Source organism: Homo sapiens, chromosome 19, assembly GCF_000001405.40.
Source record: "Homo sapiens chromosome 19, GRCh38.p14 Primary Assembly".
NCBI classification, from domain to species: domain Eukaryota; kingdom Metazoa; phylum Chordata; class Mammalia; order Primates; family Hominidae; genus Homo; species Homo sapiens.
This window is the reverse complement of record NC_000019.10, coordinates 36,555,924-36,569,048: the sequence shown is the minus strand read 5'-3', so window position 1 is coordinate 36,569,048 and position 13,125 is coordinate 36,555,924. Positions and strand designations below refer to the sequence as shown.

At 42.1% G+C, this 13,125-nt stretch overlaps 1 protein-coding gene across 9 annotated transcripts in view; it reads left to right on the top strand.

Moving 5' to 3' along the window:
• The window catches only part of ZNF529 (zinc finger protein 529), a 61,931-nt gene that overhangs the window by 36,495 nt on the left and 12,311 nt on the right, over window positions 1–13,125 (top strand). For all 9 annotated transcript variants that reach the window (XM_011527164.4, NM_001145650.2, NM_001145649.2 and 6 more), the window contains one exon: window positions 12,852–12,945. In XM_011527164.4, coding sequence (XP_011525466.1) covers window positions 12,852–12,945 — 94 coding nt within the window. The remainder of the gene's footprint in view (window positions 1–12,851; window positions 12,946–13,125) is intronic.

The window sequence follows — 13,125 nt, the reverse complement described above, 5'->3', positions numbered from 1 at the left end:
TCAAATGCCTTAATTTCATAGGGTCTCACCCTTGCTTCTTAGGCCCTAGATGTTATATTTTTCCACCTGTAATCGTTTGCTCCAAGTATCCACAGGTGTCCAGGCAATTAAAATATCATTGAGTTTTGCATACTGATCTTATATCCTGCAGTGCTGCTGCACTTATTTCTAGTTTTAATAGTGTTTTAGCTTTGATGCACCACAGTGCCCACCACTGTCCTTTGTGGCCTTTACCTGCCTGAGATCTGAGCTGTGCAGCCTTTTACATGTTGAAACTCAAAAGTCAGAGTGGCTCACACCTGTAATCCCAGCACTTTGGGAGGCCAAGGCAGGCAGATCACTTGAGGTTAGGACTTCGAGACCAGCCTGGCCAACATAGTGAAACCCTGTCTCTATTAAAAGTACAAAAATTTGCCAGGCGTGGTGGTGTGCACCTGTAATCCCAGCTGCACAGGAGGCTGAGGCAGGAGAATTGCTTGAACCTGGGAGGCAGAGGTTGCAGTGAGCCGAGATCATGCCACTGCACTCCAGCCTAGATGACAAAGTGAGACTCTGTGTAAAAAAAAAAAAAAAAGAAAGAAAATCAGATAAAACAGAAACCAGTACCTCAGTACCTCAAGGAGCCCACAGACAGATTAGCATGTTCCAAATAAGCTCTGCTTTGTTCCTTCTGGCCTGAAGGAGGGAAATGGGAACTGGGCTGCTTCTTCCATGCTGCACTAGAGATGGAGTAAGAGCACAAGTAACATAATCAACAAATTCACTACCATTTTGAATGTGACTTTCTCCTGACTGGGCATTTGTTTGATAGTTACAGTCTTTGAGTGATTTCCAGACCCTTACAAAGATATTTTAGCTAGTCTCTAGTTGTTTTTTAAGTGTTTCAATAGAGAATAGGGAATTGAAGCTTCCTCAGCTGCCATCTTGCTGATGTTATTCTCATGGTTCTGTTATTATTTTCCTATTGTCTAATGATTTTCAGCATCTTTCCATGTACTTGTTGACCATTTGTTCATCTTTTATGAAGAAATGTCTACTGAAGTCTTTTGCCAGCTTTTAACTTGGGCTGTTTGTCTTTTTGTTGGGCTGAGTTGTAGGAGTTTTTATATATTCTGGATGTTAAATGCTCATGAGATATATGATTTGCAGATATTTTTTCACATCGTGCAGGCTGTCTTATCAGTTTCTTCTATAATGATTTTTTGATGCACAAAAGCTTTTAGTTTTGATACATCCTAATTCATCAAAATTTTCTTTTGCTGCTTATCCTTTTGGTGTCATCATTTAAGAATCCATTGCCAAATATAGGCCAGATGCAGTGGCTCAGACTGTAATCCCAGCACTTTGGGAGGCAGATATGGGTGGATCACTTGAGGTCAGGAGTTTGAAACCAGCCTGGCCAGCATGGTGAAACCCCGTCTCCTACTAAAAATACAAAAATTAGCCAGGCATGGTGGCAGGCACCTGTAATCCCAGCTACTCAGGAGGAGGCTGAGGCAGGAGAATCACTTGAACCTGGGAGGTGGAGGTTGCAGTGAGCCGAGATGGCGCCACTGCACCCCACTCTGGGTGACAGAGTGAGACTCCATCTCAAAAAAAAAAGAATCCATTGCCAAATATAAGTTCATGATGACTTACCCCTACATTTCCTTCTAAGAGTTTTATAGTTTTAGCTCTTATATTTGGGTCATTGATCTGTTTTCAGTTACTTTTTTTATGTGTTATTAAGGAGTGATGCAATTTCATTCTTTTGCATGTGGATATTCAATTTTTCTGGCACCATTTGTTGAAAAGACTGTTCTTTCCTCTATTTCATTAGATTGGCACCCTTGTCAAAAATCACTTGACCCTAGCTACACTGGTTTAAATTTTCACTCAGTTCTATTCCATTGATGAATATATCTATCCATATTCCGTGCCCCACAGTCTTGATTATTGTGGTTTTATAGTCAGTTCTGAATTGGGAAATATCAGTCTTCCAGCTTTGTTTTGGCTGAATCTGTTGCAATGTCATATGAATTTTTTTTTTTTTTTGGAGACAGTCTCGCTCTGTTGCCCAGGCTGGAATGCAGTGGCGCGATCTCGGCTCACTGCAACCTCTGCCTCCTTCCAGCGCTTCTCCTGCCTTAGCCTCCCAAGTAGCTGAGACTACAGGTGCCTGCCACCACACCAGGCTAATTTTTGTATTTTTAGTAGAGATGGGATTTTACCATATTGGCCGGGCTGGTCTGAAACTCCCGACCTCAGGTGATGTACCTGTCTTGGCCTCCCAAAGTGCTGGGATTACAGGCATAAGCCACCAGGCCTGGCCCTTTTTTTTATTATTTTTTTGAGACAAGGTATCATTCCATCACCCAGGCTGGAGTTCAGTGGTGCAATCGCAACTCACTGCAGCCTCAACTGCCTGGGCTCAAGTGATCCTCCTACCCCAGCCCCAGCCCTCACACACCCCCGCCCCCCACCTCCCCAACAGCTAGGACCACAGGTGAGCACCACCATGCCTGGCTAATTTTTTGTATTTTTGGTAGAGACAAGGTTTCACCATGTTGGCCAAGCTGGTCTTGAACTCCTGGGCTCAAGCGATCTGCCTGCCTCAGCTTCCCAAAAGTGTTGGGATAAGTGGTATGAGCCACTACACCTGGCTTTCTTTTGGTTTTAATTAACTTATTGTACTGTACCATTTTAATTCCCTTGTCATTTCTTTTATATAAGCTGATTGTTTTCTTAGCATGTGTTCTGAAGATTACAGTGAATATTTTACATTTACAAATAACTGGTTTGAATTTATAGACTTTGGTCATGGAACTCCAAGACCACTTTCAGGTTCACTGACTGCTAGATGGACTCACACAACTCAGAAAAGTGTTGTTGTTGTTGTTTTCCCACTAGTGAAAGGATCACATTAAAATTAATGAAAGCTGGCTATTCCGGGGCCAGAATTTATCTTCTAGGTGTTAGTCAAGGGCTACAACTTTCTTTGGAATAGGCAGGGTTTAAACATTCCAGACACTACTGCACTCCAGCCGGGGCAAAAGAGTGAGACCCTGTCTCAAACAAACAAAATTCCAGACCTGTTGAATCAAAACTGTGCTGCATACTCCTTAGCTTTAATACTATATCCAAAACTCTGTTCCTATACAGTTCTGCTCCTCTTCATGTTGTTTTGTCACAGATTACATTTTTATACATTGTGTGCTCTTTAACATTGGTTTATAATGACTGTTTTACACGTTAGTCTTTTAAATCATATTGGGGAAATAAAGAGGACCTGCAAGCCCAAGATGCAATAGACTTTTGTATTTGCCTATTTAGGTACCTTTATCGTTGTTTTCTTTTCTTTCTTTTTTTTGAGACAGAGTCTCACTCTGTCGCCCAGGCATGAGAGCGGTGGCACAATCTCTGCTCACTGCAACCTCCGCCTCTGGGGTCAAGCAATTCTCCTACATCAGCCTCCCAAGTAGCTGGGATTATAGGCATGTGCCACCATTCCCAGCTAATTTTTGTATTTTTAGTAGAGATGGGGTTTCACCATGTTGGCCAGGCTTGTCTCGAACTCCTGACCTCATGATCCGCCTGCCTTGGCCTCCCAAAATGCTGGGATTACAGGTGTGAGCCACCGCGCCCGGCCTGTTCTTCATTTTTGTATATGGCTTTGAGTTACTTTCTACTGTCTTTTTATTCCAACTTGCAGGGCTCCCTTAGCTTTTCTATTATGGCATGTCTTCGAATGAGGTCCCTCAGTTTTTGTTTACTTGGGTATGTTTTAGTTTCTCCTTCATTGTGTTTTTGGTTTCTTTTTTCAACTTTTATTTTCGATTCAGGGGGTACATTTGCAGGTTGGTTAACATGAGTATATTGCATGATGCTGAGATTTGGAGTACAATTGATCTTGTCTTCCAGATAGTGAACCTAGTACCCAATAGTTTTTCAACTCTTGTTTCTCTCCCTCCCTCCCGCCTCTAGTAGTCGCAGTGTGTATTGTTCCCATATTTATGTCTATTTGTACCCAGTGTTTAGCTCCCACTTAGCAGTGAGAACATGCAGTATTTGATTTTCTTTTTCTGCATTAATGCTTTTAGAATAATGGCCTCCAGCTGCATCCATGTTGCTTCAAAGGACATGATTTTGTTCTTTTTTATGTATGGTATTCCATGACATATGTATACCACATTTTCTTTATCCAAGCCACTGTTGAGGGGCACCTAGGTTGATTCTGTGTCTTTGCTATTGTGAATAGTGCTGTGATGAACATGAGTGCATGTGTCTTTTTTGTAAAATGATTTATTTTCTTTTGGGTATGTACCCAATAATGGGATTGCTGAGTCAAATGGTTGTTCTATTTTTAGTTATTTGAGAAATCTCCAAACTGCATCCCACAGTGGCTAAACTAATTTACACTCCCACCAACAGTGTGTAAGCATTCCCTTTTCTCCGCAGCCTCACCAACATCTGTTACTTTTGACTATTTAACAATAATTGTTCTGACTGATATGAGATGGCTAACTCATTGTGGTTTTGATTTGCATTTCTCTGATGATTAGTGGTGTGGGGCATTTAAAAAAGTATGTTTGTTGGCTGCTTGTATGTCTTTTGAGAAGGGTCTGTTCATATCCTTTACCCACTTTTAGTGGGACTGTTTTCTGCTTGTTGAATTGTTTAAATTCCTTGTAGATTCTGGATATTAGACCTTTGTTAAATGCATAGTTTGTGAATATTTTCTCCCATTCTGTAGGTTGTTGTTTACTCTGTTGATAATTTCTTTTGCTGAGCGGAAGCTCTTTAGTTAGGTCTCACTTGTCAATTTTTGTTTTGTTTCAGTTGCTTTTGAGGAATTAGTCACAAATTATTTGTCAAGGCTGATGTTTACAAGGGTATTTCCTAGGTTTTCTTCTAGGATTTTTAGTTTTAGTTCTTACATTTAAGCTTTCATCAAACTTGAGTTAATTTTTGTATATGTTGAAAAGTACGGGTGCAGTTTCATTCTTCTGCATATGCCAGTCATCCCAGCACCATTTATTGAATAGGGAGTCCTTTCCTCATTGCTTATTTTTGTTGACTTTGTCAAAGATCAGTTGGTTGTAGGTGTGTGACTTTCTAGGTCCTCTATTCTATTCCATTGGTCTGTGTGTCTGTTTCCAAACCATTGCGTTTTGGTTACTGTAGCCTTGTAGTATAGCTTGAAGTCAGGTAGTGTGATGTAACCAGCATTGTTCTTTTTGCTTAGGATTACCTTGGCTATTCAGACCCTTTTTTGGTTCCATGTGAATTTTAAAATAGCTTTTTCTAGTTCTGTGAAGAATGTCCTTGGTAGTTTGATAGGAATAGCATTGAATCTATAAATTGCCTTGGGCAGTATGGCCATTTTAATGATATTGATTCTTCCTACCATGTTTTTCCATTTGTGTCATCTGATTTCTTTGAGCAGTGTTTTGTGGTTCTCATTGTAGAGATCTTTCACCTCCCTGGTTAGCTGTATTCTTAGGTATGTTATTCTTTTAGTGGCAATTGTAAATGGGATTGTGTTCCTGATTTGGTTCTCGGCTTGACCGTTTTTTCCATCGTCTTACTCTCAATCTCCTTGCAGCTTTGCAGCTGAGTCACCCATAGACAACTTTTTTTTTTTTTTGAGACACAATCTCATTCTGTTGCCCAGGCTGGAGTGCTGTGGTGTGATCTCGGCTTACTGCAACCTCCGCCTCCTGGGTTCACGCGATTTTCCTGCCTCAGCCTCCCGAGTAGCTAGGATTAGAGGCGCACACCACCATGCCTGGCTAATTTTTGGTGTATTTTTAGTATAGACAGGGTTTCACTGTGTTGGCCAGACTGGTCTCGAACTCCTGACCTCATGATCCACCTGCCTCACCCTCCCAAAGTGCTGGGATTACAGGCGTGAGCCACCGCGCCTGGCACCCATAGGCAACTTTCTTAGTCTGTTTGTGCTGCTATAACAAAATACCTGATTTATAAAGAACAGAAATGTATCACAGTTCTGTAGTTTATGAAGTCCAAGATCAAGGCATCATCAGGTTCAAATGTCCTCTTCCAAGGGTGCCTTGATGCTGCATCCTCCAGAAAGGACGTGTGTCCTCACGTGCAAAAGGGAGGACAAGGAAGTCTGCATTGAGCCTCTTTTATGAAGGCTGTAATCCCATTCACAAAGGGAGGAGCCCCTCATCACCTCTTAAAGGCTCCACCTTCTTTTTTTTTTTTTTTTTCTGGAGACAGAGTGTTGCTCTGTCGCCCAGGCTGGAGGGCACAATCTCAGCTCACTGCAAGCTCCGCCTCCCAGGTTCCTGCCATTCTCCTGCCTCAGCCTCCTGAGTAGCTGGGACTACAGGCACCTGCCACCACGCCCGGCTATTTTTTTGTAGTTTTTTAGTAGAGACGGGGTTTCACCCTGTTAGCCAGGATGGTCTCGATTTCCTGACCTCGTGATCCGCCCACCTCGGCCTCCCAAAGTGCTAGGATTACAGGCATGAGCCACCGCGCCCGGCCAGGCTCCACCTTCTAATACTATCACATTGGCAACACCTGAATTTTGGAGAGGACATGTTACATTCTGCCCCTGGACCCCCCCTATATTCATGTCTTTCTCATGTACAAAATACATTCATTTCACTCCAATAGCCCCCAAAGTATTAAAACTCATTTCAGCATAAACTTTAAAGTCAACTTAAAGGGCAGAGTCTCATCTAGGTATTATCTAAATCATGTGATTCATCCTGAGGCAAATTGCTCTCTAGTCCTGTACCTGTGAAACCAAACTAGTTACGTGCTTCCAAGCTACAATGGAATAATAATGGAATAAGGCAGACATTTCTTTTTTTTTTTCCCCTGGGCTGCAGTGCAATGGTGCGATCTCGGCTCACCGCAACCTCCGCCTCCCAGGTTCAAGCGATTCTCCTACCTCAGCCTCCCGAGTAGCTGGGATTACAGGCATGCACCACCATTCCTGGCTAATTTTTTTGTATTTTTAGTAGAGATGGGGTTTCTCCATGTTGGTCAGGCTGGTCTTGAACTCCCCACCTCAGATGATCCACCTGCCTTGGCCTCCCAGAGTGCTGGGATTATAGGCATGAGCCACTGCACCCGGCCAGGACAGACATTTCTATTCCAAAACAGATAAATAAGAAAGTATGGGTCACTGGTCTCAAGTAGGTCCAAAACTGAACAGGGCAAACAACAATAAACCTTTAGCCTGGAGAATAATCATCTTTGACTCCTTGTCGCATGTTCCAGACACACTGGGATGGGGGTTGGACCCCAAAGGCCCGAAGGGTCCCTGCCACCATGGCTTTGGTGTGCACAGTTCATACTGCAGCTCTCATAGGTTGCAGTCAGGTGCCACTGGCTCTCTCCCAGGCCCATGTTGCATGCTGCTGGCTCTACAGGTCTAGGGTTTGGGGAGTGGCACAGCCTGTATGACTCCACTGGACAATGCCCTAGGGGGGACTGTCTGCAGTGGCTCTGCCTCTGTAGTAGGTCTCTGTCTAGGCCCTGAGGCTCTCCAAGGCATCACGTGCCTGTAATCCCAGCTATTTGGGAGGCTGAGACAAAAGAATTGCTTGAGCCGGGGAGGCGGAGGTTGCAGTGAGCCAAGATCGCACCACTGCACTCCAGCTTGGGCAATACAGTGAGAGTCTGTCTCAAAAAAAAAAAAAAAAAGAAATCTCTTTGAAGGATGCCATGCTTCCACATCTTGTGCACTCTGCACACTTGCAAAATCAGTACCATGTGGATGCTGAGGTTCACCACTTTGCCCTCCAGAGCAGGGACTAAACTGCACCTGGGCCCACTGGAGCCACAACTACGGCAGCCAAGGAGCACTGTGCCGGGATGTGGGGAGCAGAGACTTGAGGCAGCCCCGGGCAGCAAGCCCCAAAGTTCCATGAGTGTTCTACGCCCTTCCCTGGAAACCATCCTGCCTTCAAGGCCCTCGCACTGTGGGCCTGTGATGGGAGGAGCAGCCTTGAAGCTCTCTGAAGTGCCATTGGGTTCATTCTCCTATTGTCATGATGAAAACACCTGGCTTCTTTCTAGCCACACTCTGATCAGAAAGTCACTTGGTCACACCCTTGGTTTACTTTCCTAAATACCTTTTTATTTACATGCTTAGGCTGAGAATTTTCAAATCTCTATATTTTGCTTCCGTGTTATAAATCCCATCTTTGTATTGTTTCTTCTCACATTTTACTCTGAGTAGTTAAGAGAAGCCGAGCAGCACCCTGAACACTTTGCTGCTTAGAGATTTATTCTGCCAAATATCTTACTTCAGAAACAGCTTCTGATTTATATTGGCTTAATTCAAGTGAGATAGAGAAATTTACTCCTATATAACTCTTATTTCCTTTCATCTTCTCTTATAGTAATATTGGTCTTCACATTATATCTACAGATGTTTCAAACTCAACCAATCGTTGTTGTAATTTTTACCTTATATAAGTCTATGTTTTTAAAAAAAAATGAGAAGAAAGGAGAACCTTTATACATTTATAACTTTTATTTTATCAATCTGATTTCTCACTTTGGGTTCTCCTCATTTGGTCCAGATGGATTCGAGTTACCATCTGGATTCATTTCCTTAGCCCAGTACAACTTTGCTTTCCCCTGCCTTGTGTTATTATTAGCAAATATATTACATTTCTGTATGTTATGGGCCCAATAAATACATAAGTACACGTTTCATAAAATTTGTATATCAGTTAAGAGGAGAAGAGATATATATGTATACTGTCTTTTATAATTACATAAAACTGGCTTGCTTCTCTTTTTTTTTTTTTTTTTTTTTTTTGAGACGGAGTTTCGCTCTTGTTGCCCAGGCTGGAGTACAATGGCGTGATCTCGGCTCACCGCAACCTCTGCCTCCTGGGTTCATGTGATTGTTCTGCCTCAGCCTCCCGAGTAACTGGGATTACAGGCATGCATCACCACACCCGGCTAATTTTTTATTTCAGTAGAGACCAGGTTTTTCCACGTTGATCAGGCTGGTCTCGAACTCCCAACCTCAGGGGATCCTCCCGCCTCAGCCTCTCAAAGTGCTGGAATTACAGGTGTGAACCAACGCACCAGGCCACTTCTCTTTGTTTTTTCTTATGGATTTGTATTACTGCCTGGGATCACCTGTTTTCAGCCTAAAGAGCTTCCTTGAGTACTTTTTAAGGTCAGTCAGCTAGCAATAAATTCAGTTTTTATCTGGAAATGTCTTTTCATCTTAAGTTTTGAAATGTTCTTAAGTTTTGAAATATAGGTTTGCTGCATAAGGATAACCACCCCCCTCTGTTTTACTGATATATAATTGACACATACATATATGTATACACACACATACAAACACACTTTTATCTGTCCATCCATTGATGGACACTTAGGTTTCCATACCTTGGTTATTATGAATAATGCAGCCATGAAAAGGACTGCAAATATCTCTTCAAGTTACTGACTTGGCCATGTGTGGTGGCTCACGCCTGTAATTCCGGCACTTCGGGAGGCCAAGGTGGGTGGATCACGAGCTCAGGAGTTTGAGACCAGCCTGGCCAACATGGTGAAACCCCGTCTCTATTAAAAATACAGAACTTAGCTGGGCATGGTGCCACATGCCTGTAATCCCAGCTACTCAGGAGGCTGAGACAGGAGAATTGCTTGAACCCGGGAGGTGGAGGTTGCAGTGAACCGAGATTGTGGCACTGCACTCCACCGTGGGTGAAAGAGCAAGACTCCATCTTGGTGCAGGGGGAAAAGAGTTATTGACTTCATTTCTTTTGGCTGTATAGCCAGAAGCAGAATTGCTGGATTGTATGGTTGTCCTATTTTTAAGTTTTTGAGGAGCCTCTATATTCTTTTTCAGAAGGACTGTACCAATTTACATCCCTGACAGTGTACAAGGCTTCCCTTTTTTCCATATCCTTGTCAACATTTTTTTTCTTTCTTGTCTTTTTGATAACAGCAGTCCTATCAGGTGTGAGGTGATATTTCATTGTGGTTTTGATTTGCATTTCCCTGATGTTTAGTGATATTGAGCACCTTTTTATATACCTGTTGACCATTTGTATATCTTCTTTGCAAAAATGTCTATCAGGTTCTTTGCTTATTTTTTTAATTGGATTTTTTTTTTTGCTATTGAGTTGAATGAATTTCTTATATATTTAGATATTAACCCCTTGTCAGATATATAATTTGCACATATTTTCTCCCATGCTGTAGAATGTCATTTCACTTTTTAAATTGTTTCCTTTCTTTCGTAGAAGCTTTTTAATTTTATTTGGTCCCATTTCTTTGTTTTTGCTTTTGTTTCCGGTGCTTTTGGTGTTATATTTTAAAAAATCATTGCAAGACCAATGTCAAGAGCTTTACTATGTTTTCTTCTAGGATTTTTATAGTTTCAGGCCTTATATTTAAGACTTTAATCCATTTTGAGTTAATTTTTGTAAGTGGTGTGAGGTAGGGGGTCACTTCATTTTTTTATGTGTTGATGGATTTAGGATTCTGGGTTGAAGGATTTTGTGTGTGTGAGTACTTTGTATATATCATCCCACTGCCTTCTGGCCTTCATTTTTTTCTGATGAGAAATCAGCAGTTAATACTTTTGTATTAGTTTCACTTCTAGCCTGCAGTTTCCTTTTACTGCTTTCAAGATTTTCTCCATTTCTTTCTTTGGATTTCAGTGCTTTTATAATGATGCATCTATGTTTGGATCTCTATGCATTTATCCTGCTTGGTGTTTGTTGAGCTTCCTGGATGTGCAGTTTAATGTTTTTCAATAAATTTGGGAATTTCAAATCCATTATTTCTTTGTAAATTTTAAATCCTTTTTTTTCTCTCTCACCTCTCTTCTGGTACTCCTGTTTATATCAGTGTGGTTAATGGGGTCCCACATTTCTCTGAGATGTTAATTTGTCTTGTTTTCTCTCTGTTCATCAGATTATACCATTGCTATTAATCTGTCTTCAACTTTGTTAATACTTCTGCCAGTTCATGTCTACTATTGAGTCCTTCTAGTGAAAATTTCATTTCAGTTATTATACTTTGTAACTTAAGAATTTCCATATGTTTATTTTTAATAATTTTTATCTCTGTTGATATTCTCTTTTTGATGCAACATTATGATCATACCTACATTTACTTCTTTATGGTTTCCTTTGTCTACCTGAATATGTATTATAATGTATAATTTGAAGTCTTTGCCTGTTAAATCTGGTTGCTCTCACAAGCAGTTTCTGTTGTGGGCTTCTTTTCCAGTGTGTGAATCATACTTTCCTGTTTCTTTGCCTGTCTCTTGTTTGTGGAAAGTGGACATTATAGACAATTGTTGGAACTCCAGTACTTTTGTCCACACCCTCTGCCTCAGGGCTTGTTATTGGTACTTGCTTATTTACCTGCTTAGTGACTGTAATATGGTTTGGCTCTTGTATCTCCACCCAAAACTCACCTTGAATTGTAATAATCCCCACATGTCAAGGGCAGGACCAGGTGGAGATAATTGAATCATGGGGGTGGTTTCCCCCATACTGTTCTTGTAATAGTGGGTGAGTTCTCACAGGAGCTGATGGTTTTATAAGGGGCTTCCCCCTTAGCTCGGCTCTCATTCTGTCTCCTACCACCCTGTGAAGAGGTGCCGTCTGCCATGATTGTAAGTTTCCTGAGGCCTCCCCAGCCATGCAGAACTGTGAGTCAATTAAGCCTCTTTCCTTTGTAAATTACCTAGTCTTGGGTATATCCTTATAGCAGCATGAGAATGGACTCTCTGGATTATTTTAGTGAAGTCTATTCCCACCATGTTGTAAAATCTCTGATGTTGCTCATTGGGAGTACAGCCTTGCCTACTTTTACAGACAGCGTTAGATGATAGTGGTTTTGACAGGGCTGTCTTTGAGCATCTCCCTGACCACCCCCAGCTGTTAAGCACCACTAATTGCAACTTATGGCAGTATTGCTTTCATAAGTGCCCTGGAGTATACATTGCTTCACAGGCTAATGTAATCAAACTGGGGCTTTTTTGAGGTCAGTGTTCGAGATTTGTTCTGACAATAGAATGTCTTCCCAGGTGTCTCTCAGTTTCTGTCTGGCAAACAAGCCACCCTACAGTATAATATACATCTCTAATCAACCTCCTCTCAATTGCCCTTCACCAAAATTTTCAGTTTTTGACATTGCCCTTAGGTTTAAACTTCTCCACATTCTGTTGCAAGTCAATTCAGTTCCTTTGAGGAGCAATACAGAACTCTCTGTTCTATGGCCTGCTTCTCCCCCTGGACAAAATCTCAGAGCCACCATTCTAGTGCTGGAGGTAGGGACAATGGCGTGCATCTCTCTGAGTGATTCCCCTGCTTTAGGAGCTGAGTGCTTGGTAGATGGCAGATGGGGCAGCAGCCAGGTCTGCCTGGCTTGCCTGTTTGGGCATGGAACACTTGCCCCGGGAGCCAGGACACAACAGTTGGAAACCTCAGTATGCTCAGCAGTACCACATCCAAGTTAAAGCCTACATTTCATGTTTTGGGGCTAGGCAGAGGAAGGGAGTCCTCATTCTTCAGCTGCGCAACAGGTAACTGGGGCAGAGTGAAAAGTGATGATGTCTTACCCCACCTAGGAAGATAGCTATCTGACTGGGGCAAGGGTTGAGAAGTGGTGAAGAAGCCCCATGCCCTTGGCTATCCTGTCTGGAGTGGAGTCTTTCTCACCAAGATAGAATGGACAATGGAGGGCTCAGGTTTGGTTCACGGAGTCTAGACTCTAAGAGTTCTTAACATGTTTTTTGAGATTCTCTTAAACTAATGTTTCTTCATTTGCTGTACATTCCTAGCACCATTTCCAGAGACTTTTAATGGTGGTTCTTTCTTAAAAAATAATTTTTACAGTTTCATTGGGGATCATGTCCATGGAGCTCCTCATGCTGTCATGCCAGAAGTGGAATTCCCTGACCAATTCTTTACAGTTCTAACCATGGACCATGTAAGTTAACTACTTCTCTTTTCTTTGTGATATTTCCTTTTTCTGATTCTTCCTACCAAACACCTCTGTCAAAGAACCTGTACCACAACCCCATACTTCTTCGCTTTCTAGTAAGGGCTGGAGTCTAACAGCACAGTGTCCCTCCTGTGTGCCTCTATTCCCCAAAGAATGTTCAACACT